We start from the raw sequence: 15,787 nt of genomic DNA, 5'->3' as shown, positions 1-15,787 counted from the left end.
AAATAAATAAATACATAAATAAATACAAATTAGCCCTCTCCATTTATTTCATGGTCTGTTTGATGTGAAATCCCTGCCCTCAGTTCTGCTTAGAGAAGGGGTTTGGTAATTTCCCATTTATTCCTTATAGTACATAATACCTTGTCGCTACATATGGGAAACACCTAAGACACAGCTGCCATTTGCATGAAGAATGCACAGTGAAAAGAGGAATTGGACTGCTTAATACATAATATCTCTCATTTGACATACAAAGGTTTATGGAGTGAGTGTGTCTTATGCACTATGCCTGATGTTCGGGGAAGCACAGCTCAATGAAACGCAATCTTTGCCTTTGATTTGTTCATAGTCTGGTGGGGAAGTCAGATATGAAAACCTAAAGCCACACTGTAATAAAAACTAATCCTGAGCTGTGGGCCGAGGCTTGTGAGCACGGAGGATGGGGTAGCACATCCTTTCTGGGAGAATCAGAGGGGCCTTCACTGAGCAAGTGAACTTGGAGGCTACACTGAAGAAAGAGTGAATGTTTCCCAGATAGGAAGGGAAAAGGAGGCATTTGAAGCAGAGATAAGTGCAAAGGCCTGAGAACCTAAAAGAACTTAGTGCCTTATTGTTCTCAGCCTCACTGAGTACTTCCTAATTTAGAGCCTTGCATTGGCTGACCCCTGGGGTTCCTCTGCCTGGGGTGGTTTCTCCAACCACTTCTTCGCCTCCAAGTCTTGGCTCATCAAGTCCTAAGCAATTCTCCCTATTTAAATTAAAACCTGCTCGCACGTCCATTGTCCAATATGCCAACACCAGTTTTGAATATTCCATTCTTTCCCCGTTGATTTAAGATATCAATTTCATCCATGAGAGCTTGTAATATTTATAGTTTATAATATTATAGCTGAGCAAATCTATTTATCAACTGTATATGTATCTGTATATCTATATATCTACCTAGTTAGCTATCAACCTATATGTATGTATGTATATATTCTTTTTTTTTTTTTGAGACGGAGTCTTCCTCTGTCGCCTAGGCTGGAGTGCAGTGGCGCGATCTCGGCTCACCACAATCTCTGCCTCCTGGGTTCAAGCGATTCTCATGCCTCAGCCTCCCGAGTAGCTGGGATTACAGACATGCGCCACTACACCCGGCTAATTTTTTGTATTTTCAGTAGAGATGGGGTTTCACCATATTGGCCAGGCTGGTCTCGAACTCCCGACTTCAGATGATCCACCCGCCTCGGCCTCCCAAAGTGCTAGGATTGCAGACGTGAGCCACTGCGCCCAGCCGTATGTATGTATTCATCCACCCATCCATCCATCATCCATCTATACAGCTAAGCTTGCATTGTGCTATTCACTCAAAACCCACACATTTTTATTGCTGTTGCTGTTATTAAATGCTTTCTTAATCACTGAAAGAAGTATATTAAAATATGTCACAATTATTATATATTTGTCTCTGTTTATATTTCTAACAGTTATAGCTTACAGCTATCTTGTTAGGTATATATGATTACATATACCATCAACATACATTTCTTATTTACTCATTTAACATTTCTGGCCTTGAATTTTATTAACTGATATTAATATTACCTCATTTCCTTTCATTTTTGTAGCATTTCCTTAGCGTATCTTTTAAAAATCATGTATTTGCATCCTTTTTTGGGTCATTTTGTTTTAGTTTTAGTTTCACCTCTTGTACAGAGCATACGGTGACACTGAAAATTCTTCGGTGAGAATCTCTGTTTTTTTTTTTGAGACAGAGTCTTACTCTCTTGCCGGGCTGGAGTGCAGTGGCACAATCTTGGCTCACTGCAACCTCCACCTCCGGAGTTCAGGTGATTCCCCAGCCTCAGTCTCCCAAGTAGCTAGGCCTACAGGCACACGCCACCATGCCCGGCTAATTTTTATTTTGTATTTTAGTAGACACGGAGTTTCAACATGTTGGCCAAAATGGTCTCGATCTCCTGACCTCGTGATCCGCCCACCTTGGCCTCCCAAAGTGCTGAGATTACAGGCGTGAGCCACCTCGCCCAGCTGAGAATCTCTGTTCTTAATGGATGATTGTAACCTATTTTCATTTACAAGGATTACAGTTGCATCCGAAATTATTCCAGTCTGACCAGGCCTGTTTCTGGTAGGTGGGAAAAGAGTATAAATGAGAACCCATGCCTCGTATGCTTGGTACTTAAAAGTTATGAATCAAGCTGAAAATAAAATGATTTTTCCTGTACCTTGACAAGTGTACCTTCATAACAGCAACATTTAAAAAGATGTATAAAGGTATGGTTTTTATAAAGTTGCCAAAATGTCAAAGATGGCTGAATTTAATTATTATTACAGTCCTGTTGATGAATCAGCAATATTTGATTCAGCAACAAAATAATCTATTCAAAAGTATGTATTCTGTAAAATGTATCTTTCTTGCCTTTGTTTCAGCAAAATTGTTAACTACGTTGTTAAAAGAAAGAGTTTCTAGATCCTGAGGTAGAACTTAGGCAAAAAATAAAATATAAAAAACAGAAGGAGTTTCACATAATTTGTATACAGATCTAAAAGAATTAAGAAGTAAATATAATTGTGTTCAAATTACACCAAATATATATTTATAAAAAATGTAAATTAAAGTAAATGTAAAGAATTTTTAAAAAGTTATTTTTACATATTTTCATGATGTGGTTATGCTCAAGTATTCAAACTTATCTATTAAAATCTATAAGGCAAAACCAGTGATAATCAAGGTCTATGAAACAATAAATCATTATTATTATAATGAGTTGAGTTTTTATTTAATTTTCTAAACATTTAATTACATACTTACTAAATGTGTTTGTAAAAAATATTTACAAGTTTAGTGTACAAAGTTTGGCTGTCAGTATAACAAATTGGTATCATGTCTCACTCTAGACCTTTAAGCATACATCTTTAAGAGTATTATGAATTGTTTAATAATAAAAATGTGGTTGGGCACTGTGGCTCATGCCTCTAATCCCAGTGCTTTGGGAGGTCAAGGCGGGCAGGTCACTTGAGGTCAGGAGTTCGAGACCAGCCTGACCAACATGGTGAAGCCCTGTCTCTACCAAAAGAATACAAAAATTAGCTGGGCATGGTCGTGCATGTCTGTTGTCCCAGCAAATCAGGAGGCTGAAGTGGGAGAATCTCTTGAACCTGGGAGGCGGAGGTTGCAGTGAGCCGAGATCACGCCACTGCACTCCACCCTGGGCAAGAGAGCGAGACCCCTTTTAAAAAAAAAAAATTGCAAACTGTTCTGCAATTTCTGAGAGCAACTATTATGAACATCACACTAATTTGTAAGTACCTCCAGAACCATGAATTGGACAAAAATGGGTGCTTGCCATTCCTGGGAAAATATATTTTGTCATACAGGAGTCTGTTACATTCGTGCTACCTGAGAAGAAAGAGCTCACAAGTTAAATTTTCTTTTCTGTTACCAAAGCACTTCTGCCACGCAAGTCCTCCCTGCAAGCCAAAGAATCTACATACTGACATTAACACTGATACTACATGAAAGTTTCATGGTATTTGGACATAGTTCCTGTTGTTTCAAGGTCCTAGGCCAGTCATGAGAGTTGATATTTAGGATTGTTACACATTGTAATGCCTACATGACCTAGGTGAATTTCTATCCTGTCTTAACCCTGCTTATCTTTAGGAAACAGGATGCCTGAGGTCTGAATTTCCCCCTTGTGATCTAACTTACTAAGACTGGATCCAAGATGGCAGCTCACTTGACCTCTGAAGAACCTCTAACTTCATTATAGTCTAATGTCCATGCTAAACGACTCTCCCACCAGTGCCATGACAGTTGACAATCACCCTGACAACAGCCAGAGGAAACCATGAAAGGACAAAAAGGAAAGCGCACTCTGGTTTTGAGCGGTTCTCTGCCCATTCCCAGAAAAGACATGAATATTCCTCCTCTTGCTCTTAATGCTTAACCCCTTCATTAAAGATGCCCTATATTTGTGATATACTCACTTGCAAGAGCTATGAAATTGATTTGTGAGCCAAGCTCCCACTTCTCAATTCTATGGCCATCGAACGAAACCTGAACTGCTTGATGCTCACTTTTGTTTTTGTGTATTGGCTTCTGAACTGAACAGAGAAAGACCCCATTTTGGAAAGACAGACTTTGTCAGTAATAGGATCTCCCATTCAGAGCTGAAGGCTAGATCCCATATGATAAAGCAATTTGTTCTTGCTCTTGTTTTATGCTATCTTTTGAAAACATTAATTACACCTTATTTTAGTTCTCTTATGTTCTTTTAATTTATAATTTATTCCTTTTCCTTAGATGGTAGTGCCTCTGACTTTTTGGTTTAATGTCTTCATTCATAGTGTTGATCTTGCTTAAATGCTCGGTAAATTTTGTGGTCTATCTGTTCATGCTTGTGATTGCTAAATTATGTTTTATTTAGTACCGTCTCTCTTTTTGTAGAGAAAGGATGGGAATTGCTCAGAACTGCCTGCTTTATGTTTTCATTTTAGTATGAGTTTTTTCTGGAGTTATGTAGAGCAAATGGTTCCTACTCTTGCTAACACTTTCACCTGTGTATGTGTTAAGTTGCAGTCTTTATTTGCTGTCTTCCCATAAGTAAAATCCCATCTCCTTTCTATCCTAAAGAATTCCTCAACATTTCTGATCCTCTATTTCCAGGACTTGAAGTGGGAGAGGAAGTAGGTACTTAATCTTAATCTAATCTCTTTCCTTTTCTTTTCTTTTTTTTTGAGATAGAGTCTCACTCTGTCACCCATGCTGGAGTGCAATGGTGCTATCTCGGCTCACTGCAACCTCCACCCACCGGGTTCAAAGGATTCTCCTGCCTCAGCCTCCTGAGTAGCTGGGACTACAGGCGTGTGCCACCACACCTGGCTAATTTTAGTATGTTTAGTAGAGATGAGGTTTTACTATGTTGGCCAGGTGGTCTCGAACTCCTGACCTCAAGTGATCCACCTGCCTCAGCCTCCCAAAGTGCTGGGATTATAGGCGTGAGCCATTGTGCCCGGCCTCTTTCCTTACTTTTCCAAAACACTTTAAGAAATACCATAGTGGAGCAAAACAATAATGTTTACAGAAAACGCAACTGCACAAACATAGATGCCTCTCAAAATTAACCCTGTGATGAGTGATAGCAACACTCCGTAGGCTTCAGGTCAGTCCCTCTCCTTCTTAATGTTCACCTCCCACCTGACTCCCAGCCTATCCCTCATAGCAGCCAATATTCTATTATTTCCCACCATAACATAAGATGAAGCCATACTTTCGACCAGTTTGTCCCCTTTCCAGCCATGAGAGACCTAAGATTTGAGCTTTTTTGTCTCTTTAGGCCTGAGGATGTATAGAGATTACTCAGGTTCCAGGGTGAGGAATGTGCTGTTATTGGCATAGTAAATGAGACTTCAACACACTACAGGTGAAGCCCCTTCCCACCATTAGCCCACACTAGAGCAATTCTTTAAGCATTCAATAATCAGAACCCACATAGAATGTTAATTGCCTCACATCTGGTAACCAGAGAGTTATTCTGTCCTCTGGATAGTGTACCCTATGTTTTTATTAGCTTTTAGTGCCCACGATATTTGCACTTATTCTACTTACAGCAGCTACAACCCTAAGATGTGATTTTTCATTCATCCTGTTCCCCTGAAATGATTTTGGTTTGGCCACGAACAGAGGACTTCACATATATCATTTATTTATTTGTTTCATGAATACTTTTAAGAATGCAGTCTGCATAATGGAAACAGTTCCTGCCTTTAAGAGACTTGGAAGTTAATAAGAGGACTGACCAAGGTCACCAAGACATCCAATATGAGGCAGTGGTGTGAGATAGGTGGCACTCGAGGGCAGACTTGGTGCTTATTTGATTTTGGGGGACTGGGAACTTCTTCATGAAGGAAGTAACTTTTGAGTTGAGCCAAACAGGATGAATAGGATGTTCAGAAACAGGTGGGAGACAGGCCGGCACCATCTTAGCCTGTTCAGGCTGCAGTAACAATACCATAAACTGTGATATGATTTGGCTCTGTGTCTCCACCCAAATCTCCTGTTGAATTGTGATCTGAACGTTGGAGGTGGGGCCTGGTGGGAGATGATTGGATCGATGGTTTCTTATGATTTAGCACCATCTCCCTAGTGCTATCTTGTGGCAGAGTTCTCACAAGATCTGGTTATTTAAAAGTGTGCAGCACTTCCCCCTTTACTCTTTCTCTCTCTCCTGCCACCACCTGAAAACACGCTTGCTTCCCTTTTGCCTTCTGCCACGACTGTAAGTTTCCTGAGGCCTCCCTAGTCATGCCTCCTGTACAGCCTGTGGAACTGTGAGTCAATTAAACCTTTCTTTCTTTATAAATTACCCAGTCTTAGGTAGTTCTTAATAGCAGTGTAGGAAAGACTAATACAAACTGGGTGGCTTATAAAAAATCAAAAATTATTTCTCAGAGTTCTGGAGGCTGGTAAGTCCAAGGTCAAGGAGCTGGCAGATTTGGTGTCTGTTGAGAGCCTGCTTCCTGGTTCCTGTGTCCTCAGAAGGTGGAAGAGGCAAGGGAGCTCTCTGGGGTCTCCTGTATAAGGGCACGAATTCCATACATGAGGACTCCACCCTCATGAACTAATTATCTCCCAAAGGCTTTACCTCCAATCCAAATGCCCTCACATTGGGGATTACATTGGGCATATGAATTTGGGGTTGGGGAACACAAACATTCAGTCTATAGCAAGAAGAAACAGGTAGTACGGTAGGGGCAAGATCTGGGAACAAGAAGAAGCTCAGATAAAGAGATGGGCATCTGTAGGGTAGTGGTGGGAGATACCAAAAAAATCCAGACAAGGTTCTAATGTAGAGGGTACTCAATGCCATGCTGAGACATGAGGGCATTCAGTGGTCAGCAACAGAAAGCCACTGAAAGTAATTAAGCAGGAGAATAACATGCTTAAATATCTTGTTTATTATAGCCCATCATCTCAGTCTGAGCTCCTTTTGATCTTGAGTCTGTCATTCAAACTATGGAATTATCTCTTCTAGCACTGCCACCCCCTGCAGGTTTGATAGACATCTTCAATTATGCTTTTCTAACTAGACTATCAAAGCATACAAAATTCATAGCCCTCATCATATCCCTAACAGTGACTTCCCTCCAGGTTGGTGATTATTAAGAATCTTTGGGCTATGCTTATCTAACCACAGAACTCCCATGTATAATGGCATCCAGTCCATAGTTTTCAATGATAGTAGCAGATATTATTGATTACTTACTATGTAGTCAGTACACATGATTTACATTCATTATCTTATTTAAACCTTTCACCAAGCCTCAGGGATGAGGCTCTTGACACTTACTGTGAGTTCCTTGAAATTGCAGTGACTTTCCTGTCCCAGACATTTGAATCATCATTCTATGTTTTGAAGCTTGATTGAAAACTAAATACATTATGAATTTTATCAAATAAATCCTTCATAAAACCTTCAGGTATTTGTACCCCCTTTAATATCCACTTGGTTAGTAGGAAGAGTTGTAGAATTCACAAGCTCAATTAGAGACTTCATTTTTTGCTTGTGTTTTTTGAGGTTATATGAAACGTTTTAAATGTGACCTGGGAGAAGAGTGAAATAGAGTTTTAACTTAACCAGGATGCATGATTTTAAAAATCGAAGTAGGCCTGAATTTCCTGAAAATTTTAAAATAATCTAGTAGTGCCAGCATGAACCTTAGTCACTTAGGCAATAGAGAAGGTTTTCATGGAAATCCATTGGTCTGTTTTAAATAAATACCTTGAATATTAATAGTATAAAAGAGCATTATCTAAGTAATACTGAAGCTTATTATCAGCTGAAACTTTCTTGATCATGATGGTTAGCCATTTACGCTCACATCTGTTAACAATGGTGATTGCTTTCATCAGGAAAACAACCTTTAGATATGCAAATAGCTCTTTCTGAGGATCCGGCAAGATGGCAGAAGTAGAGCAGAAGAAGAAGCGGACCTTCCGCAAGTTCACCTACCGCGGCGTGGACCTGGACCAGCTGCTGGACATGTCCTACGAACAGCTGATGCAGCTGTACAGTGCGCGCCAGCGGCGGCGGCTGAACCGGGGCCTGCGGCGGAAGCGGCACTACCTGCTGAAGCGCCTGCGCAAGGCCAAGAAGGAGGCGCCGCCCATGGAGAAGCCGGAAGTGGTGAAGACGCACCTGAGGGACGTGATCATCCTGCCCGAGGTGGTGGGCAGCATGGTGGGCGTCCACAACGGCAAGACCTTCAACCAGGTGGAGGTCAAGCCCGAGATGATTGGCCACTACCTGGGCGAGTTCTCCATCACCTACAAGCCCGTAAAGCAATGCCGGTCCGGCATCGGCGCCACCCACTCCTTCTGCTTCATCCCTCTCAAGTAGTGGCTCAGCTAATAAAGGCGCACATGGTTCCAAAAAAAAAAAAAAAAAGATATGCAAATAAGTGTGGTAGCTAATATTCTGTCTCCTTTCCTTCACACCTCATAGATTTTCAATCCCCAGATGTATTTTCATCTTTAGAGAAATCAAAGGTGTGTTTCCTAATTATGTTATACTTTTGCATTAAGTTTAATGAGTTAAATTATAAAACTTTTTCCATTTATACCAGTGGGGTTAGTAAATGGGCCTCTGGCTAGGGGCTATTATAGCCCCTAGGCTATTATCTCATGATCTTCCAAGTACCAGAGATGGGTAGTGTAATGAAGGGCCTGGGGTCTGGTTCAGGACATGCTTTCTATTTTACTGAAGAGTTCTCAGAACAGAGTGTGCTCTGCTTTCTCTGGTTGCTCTGGGGATTTCTGTTCACTAAAATTGTTGCCTAACATTACACTAATGACTGTTCCTTAAGAGCTGATTCTTAAGAAGGTAGGGCATGACCTATAGATTTCCTCGCAGACTTGGTACAATTCACAGGAAATAAACATAGAGAGGTGAATTACTTGTCAAAAATTACATTGCTACTAAATGGCAGATCCAGGATTTGAACCCCTAAGGTCTATTATAGAAAATGTGATATATTATCTTGTGTGGTACTCTGGGGAGAGGCCATGTTTACTTGGTAGGGACTTTGTCTCTTCTGTTTGGCCTTCGATTTCCTATCTAAAGTAAATGTGCTCTAAGTGTCAGCAAAGATAATCGGGCTTAATGGTGGAGCAGAAAGTTGGCCAAATATAGCAAATGTCATTATATGAAGGAAGAGCTCATTAAGTCTCACTCAGCTATCTTTCAATAGGCAGAGGGCTTTTGGAAAGAAGGCCACCTTGTTTGGAATTAAGTTTTATTTTTATCATAGTAGTCTATGTATAAAGTTTATTTCATTTTTTATTTCTTTATTATTTTATTTTTATTTATTTTTTGAGACAGAGTCTCGCTCTGTCTCCCATGCTAGAGTGCAGTGGTGCAATTTTGGCTCACTGCAACCTCCATATCTGGGGTTCAAGCAATTCTCATGCCTCAGCCTCCTGAGTAGCTGGGACTATGGGCATGCACCACCACGCCTAGCTAATGTTTGTATTTTTAATAGAGATGGGGTTTTGCCATGTTGGCCAGGCTGGTCTCGAACTCCTGGACTCAAGTGATCTGCCTGCCTCAGCCTCCCTAATGTCGGGATTACAGGCATGAGCCACCACGCCTGGCCACAAAGTTTATTTTAAATCGAAGAGGTCTACGAGGATTTTATGAAAGCCAATAGTCTATCCCCTATTTCACCCAATTTTCAACTCTTCCATTTTCCTTACCTCCACATTTCTATATAGAATATTTCTTAACTTTTCAAGTTTAGAGAACATATATTGACTTCCTACCATGTTAATGATATGATAAATACACATTTATTATTTACTTTATACCAAGTATTTTTATCAGTACATTATATATAGATATAAACTCATTTTATCTTTATGATAACTCTTTGAAGTAAGTAGTATCATCTTCATTTTCCAGATGCAGAAACTGAAGTACAAAGAAGTTGAGTAACTTACCTAAGATCATACAGCTAGTAGGTGTCCTGGGATGTGAAAAAAGGCAATTTGGCTAGGAAGTCCAAATTTTAAGCCATTTTTCTGTGCACCTGCCCTCCATTCCGGTTTACATTCTCTTCCTAACTACATTTCCTACATTCCTCTAATTTAATTTTGGTATGATTTTTGGTTAAATTAATTGTTATTCTTTACATTATTATGGTTATACCAATGCAGTGCACTGCCGAGCCATGTAATGTACTACTTGTATGTTTTCTTTCTTTTTTCTCCTTCCTTTTTCCTGTGATTGATACTAGCCTTTTTGAGGGCCTGAATTTTTATCTACCTATTGTTAATGCTTTTCAATTATTTCACTGTTTCTCCCATGTGTATATTAACAATATGTTTCTATTCAGTCAAATATCAATTGTATGTCTTTATTTCCTGGAAACTTCTTCCTTCTGCTTCAGTATGTAATGCTTGCTCTTTGTAAAAATTTCATTGGGAGACTTCCCTTTGTGTCAGATATCCTCTTTCCTGGATCCCATGTCATCTTCTTTCTTGTTTTAATTCATTGTTTTGGTAGAACATATTTTCCAGTCTTCTTTTGGAAGGGTACATAGCGGGTATTTGAGCCCTTGAATATCTGAAAACATCTTTATCCTGTCCTTGTGCTTGATTGAGAGTTTAGCTGGCTCTAGAATTCTAAGCTGAAAATAATTTTCCCCCAGAATTTTGAAGGCATTTGATTATTTGTCCTCTGGCTTCTGATGCTGCTATTGAGAAATATGAAGCCATTCTGACTAATAATTTGTAAGTATTCTCTACTTATCTTTCTGGAAGTTTTCAGGATCTTCTTTGGTATTCTGAAACTTCACAGTGACATCCCCTAATATGAGTCTCTTCCATATCTTTAGCTAGTGTGAGTATTGGTGAGTATTTTTAATCTAGAGTCTCATGTCATTTGGTTCTGAGAAATTTCTTCCTCTCTCTTTTCTCTGTTCTGTATTTCTTGAACTATTAGTAGGATGTTGGATTTATTGGATTGATCCACTATTTTTTTCTTGTATTCCATCTCTTCTAATTTTGTCTTCAAGGAGATTTAAACAAATTTTTAAAATTTCTTCAGCTGCAAGTAACAAAGACTGAACGTCATGCGTTAAGCAAGATAGAAGTTTGTATCTCTCCCTTATGTAAAAGTTCAGAGGTAGGTTGTCCATTGTTGCTATGCCAACTCTACTCCATGAAGGGATTCAGTCAGGCTCCTTTTATCCCCAAGTTTACCTCATGGTGTATACCAGTTATCTTTTTAAGAAAGTCTCTACAAGTTGCCACAAAGTACTTTTACTCACATTTCAACAAGTAGTCACAAAGCCACAACTTGCTGCAAGGAGAGTGGAAAATGTAGCCTTTATTTTGGGTGGCTAGGAGGTTAGCAAAAAGTTCAAGGAGGATTACTTGGAAAAAGGTAAGAGCATATCTCAGACCTGCCATTTCTCATTGATTCTGTCATATTTTCTACAGTGATGATCATGTTATCCGAGAATATAGACAGGTTTACTTTTTCCTTTCAATGTGGATACTTTTTATTTCTTTTTCCTAGCTTATTGCAACAGCTAAAACCTCTAGTACAATGTCTAACAGGAGTGTTGAGTGTCATCCTTTTCTTGTTTCTGATTGTTGGTGGAAAGCATTCAATCTTTCACCATTAAGTAATATTAATTATAGGCTTTTTGTAGATGCCATTTATTAGGTTGATCCTTTTATTCCTACTTTTCTGAGAGATTTCATACATGGATATGGGCTTTTGTCAAAAGATTTTGTGTGTGTGTCTATTGATCATATGGTTTTCTTTTTAGTTTGGTAATATAGTGAGTTACATTGATTTATTTTATTATTTTTTATTTTTTGAGACAGAGTCTTGCTCTGTCACTCAGGCTAAAGTGCAGTGGTGCGACCTTGGCTCACTGCAACCTCTGCCTTCTGGGTTCAAGTGATTCTCCTGCATCAGCCTCCCGAATAGCTGGGACTACAGGTGTGTGCCACCCTGCCTAGCTAATTTTTGGTAGGGACAGTCTTTGACTATGTTGGCTAGGCTGGTCTCGAACTCTTGACCTCAAGTGATCTGCCCACCTTGGCCTCCCAAAGTGCTGGGATCACAGGAGTGAGCCACCGCGCCTGGCCTGGTTGATTTTTAAATGTTACACCAGCCTTGCATTCCTGAGATAAACCCCATTTGGTCAGGGTATATTATCCATTTTAGATGATATTCTTGAATTCAGTTTGCTAAACAATTATTTAGTATGTTTGCATTCACTTTCATGAGATACATTGTTTCGTAGTTTCTTTTCTTGCGATATCTTTGCCTAGTGTGGTATCAGGATAATGCTGGACTCTTTATGAATTGAGAATTATTCCACCTTTTCAGTTTTCTGAAACAGTTTATGTATAGTTGGTATTATTTCTTTCTTAAATATTTGGTAGAATTTATCAGTGAAGCCTTCTGAATCTGAAATTTTCTTTGTGGGAAATCTTTTAATTACAAATTTAATTTCTTTAATAGATATAGTGCTATTCAGGTTATGTATTCCCTCCTAGGTGAGCTTTGCAGTTTGTGTCTTTCAAGGAATTTGTCTATTTCATCTAACTTGTCAAATTTATTGACATAAATTTGTTCATAATACTCCCTTATCACCATTTTAATATCTGTGGAATCTATAGTGATATCACATCTCTCATTTCTGATATTGGCAACTTGTAATTTCTCTCTTTTTTTTTGTTAGTCTGGCTAGAGGTTTATCAATTTTATTGACCTGCTCACTGACCAGTTTTTGGTTTAGCTGATTTTCTATTTTATTTATTTCCACTTTGATCTTTATTATTTCCCTATTCTGCTTACTTTGGGTTTAATTTTTTGTTTCCCAGTTTTTAAAAAATTGAGGCTGTGGTCAATGATCTATCTTCTTTTTCTAATCTAGTACTTTAGTGCCAACATTTTCTAAGTAACGTTTCGGTTGTATTTCTCAAATTTTGATATACTGTATTTTATTTTCATTCAGTTAAAATGCTTTTTAATTTCTGTTTTGATTTCTTCTTTGATTTATGGGTTGCTTGAAAGTGTGTTGTTTAGGTTCCAAATATTTGCGGATTTTCCAGAGATCATTATGTTATTGATTTCTAATTAAATTCAATTGTAGAATGCTTACATTCTGTTTTATAGCTCAGAATATGGTCTGGTAAATGTTTAATGTATACTCAAAAGCAATGTTTATTCTTCTGTTGTTGGGTCAAGTGTTCTATAAATATCAAGCAATTCAAGTTGGCTGATAGTGTTGCCAAATTTTCTATATCCTTGTTGATTTTCTATTCTAAATTATTGATGGAGTAGTATTGAAATCTCTGACTATAATTGTGTATTGGTCTATTTTTATTTGTAGGTCTGTTATTTTTTACGTCATGTATTTTTAAACTGTCATTAGGAGCGTGTTTAGGATTGTTACATTCTTTTGATTAATTAACAACTTTATAATTATGAAATTACCTTCTTTATCTGTGATAATATTCTTTGCTTCGAAATCAACTTTTTTGATATTAATAAGGCTCACTCTAGCTTTCTTTTGATTAATATTACCATAGTATATTGTTTTATTTTAACTGACTTATGTGTTTATATTTAAAATGCATTTCTTGTAGGATAAGTATAGTTGGGCTTATCTTTAATCCAATTTGAAAACCTCTTTTACTTGAGGTAAACCTCTTTTACTTTGACTACTTATACTTTATGTTGATTATCTGTATGGTTAGGTTTAAATCTATGATCTTAAAATTTGGTTTTTGTTTGTCTCATTTGTTCTTTTTTACCTCTTTTTGCCTTATTTTGGATTATTGAATATTTTTATAATTTATTGCTCATTTACTGGCTCTTTGTTTTTTTTCATTTCAGTGGTTGCTTTAGAAATTATAGCATACCTTTTTAATTTACCACATTCTATCTTTAATTAATCCTACATCAATTCATGTATAGTATAAGAACCTTACAACCTTACTTTGACCTGATCAGTGGTCATGTAAATGGAATTATACAGTATGTGCTATTTTACGTCTGACTTCTTTTGCTCATAATGATTCTTATGAAAGTCATCTATGTTGTTAAATGTATCAGTAGTTTATTCTTTTGTATTGTTTGGTAATATCCCATTGTATGAATCCACCTTAGTATGTGTATCTGTTTATCGATAATGAATATGTGGGCTGTTTTCCGTCTTTAGCATTTGTAAATAAGCTACTATGAACATTTTTCTATAGGCCTTTTTGTAGACATATGCATTCATTTTCTTCTAGATATATACCTAGGAGTAGAATTTCCAGGTCATAAATAAGTGTGTATCTAACTTTATTAGAAACTGCCAAACAGTTTTATGAGATGGTTTTATCATTTTATACTGTGGATATTGGAGAGTTCACATCCTTATCAAAACTTGGTATTCTCAGTATTTTTTAATTCAGCCATTCTGGGAGGATAATAGTATATTACCATGGTTTTAATTTTTATGTTTTCCTGGTGACTAATGATGGTAAGCTCCCTTTTTATAAAATGTACAACCTTCTCTTTGTTCTTCAGACATACTAAGGCCACCCGGTCTATGTGCCCCAAATTGCAATTATTCCGTCCCAAATAAAATGTTTTAAATTTAGAGATTCATCTCTATATTTTATTTGACTTCAGTAAGTATAAGTTTGCATATATTCACAAATATAGTATCAGATATTCACAAATATAATATAATATATTTTTCACTATGTTGCCCAGGCTGGTCTCAAACTCCTGAGCTCAAGCAATCCACCCGCCTTTCCTTCCTAAAGTGCTGGGATTACATGTGTGAGACACCACACCCGGCCTTCTTTCTTCTTTCTTCTTTGATTTTTAAAAAGATATGTATTTATTCTGCTCTGAAAGCTCTTATTCCCTGATTGTTTCTTGTTAAATATAACATCTCATCTTGCTTTTTTGGATGTAGTTTCTCTTATCCCTCTGGGAACACTGATTATTGTGTGTTTTTGTTGTTGTCATTATCTTTTGCTTTCTGTTGTCTATTTCCATTTTTAGTTTGTTTACTCTTATCTCTGTTTTCTTCTAGCAGTCTTACTCAAACATCGGGTGATTCTTGGCTGGCTGCGAAGAGTCTGGTGCTGGGTGGTTGGTTTCTAGTTCTGCAGATGTTTAAGCGGAGCCAGTGCATTGGTAGGCTTCATTACAAAGTGATCAAGAAGCAAACTAGCTTTTTTTGGGGACCTCACATATCACTACCTAAACTTCTCTTCCCTAGCCCCTCAGTTTCTTTGAAATGGAATCTCTCAACATCTTGCCCGGGGTATAATAGAGAGGAGGGAATAGGTGGCTGACACTGACTTTATGGAGTCAGGGCTGGAGAATGACGCAGAAGGTAACACAATTGAGCAGAGAGAATTTCATTGAATTTCCTCGTGTGTAAACTCATGCCTTGTTCTGGTCTTTCAGCATACCCCCAAGTATATAGTTTCTCAGGTTCTGTTTCTCCAGTGAATTCATTAATGCACTCCAAAATAGTTGACTACTATATGTCCGGTGATGTCCAAGGTGCTGGGTATAGAGCAGTGAGCAAAACAACATCTTTGATCTCATGGGCTTGGATTCCATTTGAGAGAGACAAACAAAAACAAAATCAACAAATTAATGTATACTGTATCACATGGAACTAATTAAAGAGGAATAAAGTAGGGTCAAGGGATAGAGAGTGACAGGGGGTGGTCTTTTTGTAGGCGTAG

At 38.0% G+C, this 15,787-nt stretch overlaps 1 pseudogene, besides 4 other annotated features; it reads left to right on the top strand.

Moving 5' to 3' along the window:
• Window positions 7,923–7,972: an enhancer, noted in NCBI's record as "active region_2750". NCBI's record gives its function as "activates an Ori minimal core promoter by ATAC-STARR-seq in GM12878 lymphoblastoid cells {active_cell/tissue: GM12878}" and the evidence as "EXISTENCE:reporter gene assay evidence [ECO:0000049][PMID:35858748]".
• On the top strand, window positions 7,939–8,437 carry RPS15P2 (ribosomal protein S15 pseudogene 2; annotated as a pseudogene).
• Window positions 7,993–8,102: an enhancer, noted in NCBI's record as "active region_2749". NCBI's record gives its function as "activates an Ori minimal core promoter by ATAC-STARR-seq in GM12878 lymphoblastoid cells {active_cell/tissue: GM12878}" and the evidence as "EXISTENCE:reporter gene assay evidence [ECO:0000049][PMID:35858748]".
• Window positions 8,153–8,252: an enhancer, noted in NCBI's record as "active region_2748". NCBI's record gives its function as "activates an Ori minimal core promoter by ATAC-STARR-seq in GM12878 lymphoblastoid cells {active_cell/tissue: GM12878}" and the evidence as "EXISTENCE:reporter gene assay evidence [ECO:0000049][PMID:35858748]".
• Window positions 8,293–8,412: an enhancer, noted in NCBI's record as "active region_2747". NCBI's record gives its function as "activates an Ori minimal core promoter by ATAC-STARR-seq in GM12878 lymphoblastoid cells {active_cell/tissue: GM12878}" and the evidence as "EXISTENCE:reporter gene assay evidence [ECO:0000049][PMID:35858748]".

The sequence above is a fragment of the Homo sapiens genome, chromosome 1 (genome assembly GCF_000001405.40).
Source record: "Homo sapiens chromosome 1, GRCh38.p14 Primary Assembly".
In the NCBI taxonomy this organism is placed as follows: domain Eukaryota; kingdom Metazoa; phylum Chordata; class Mammalia; order Primates; family Hominidae; genus Homo; species Homo sapiens.
This window is presented reverse-complemented; position numbering and strand designations above follow the sequence as displayed.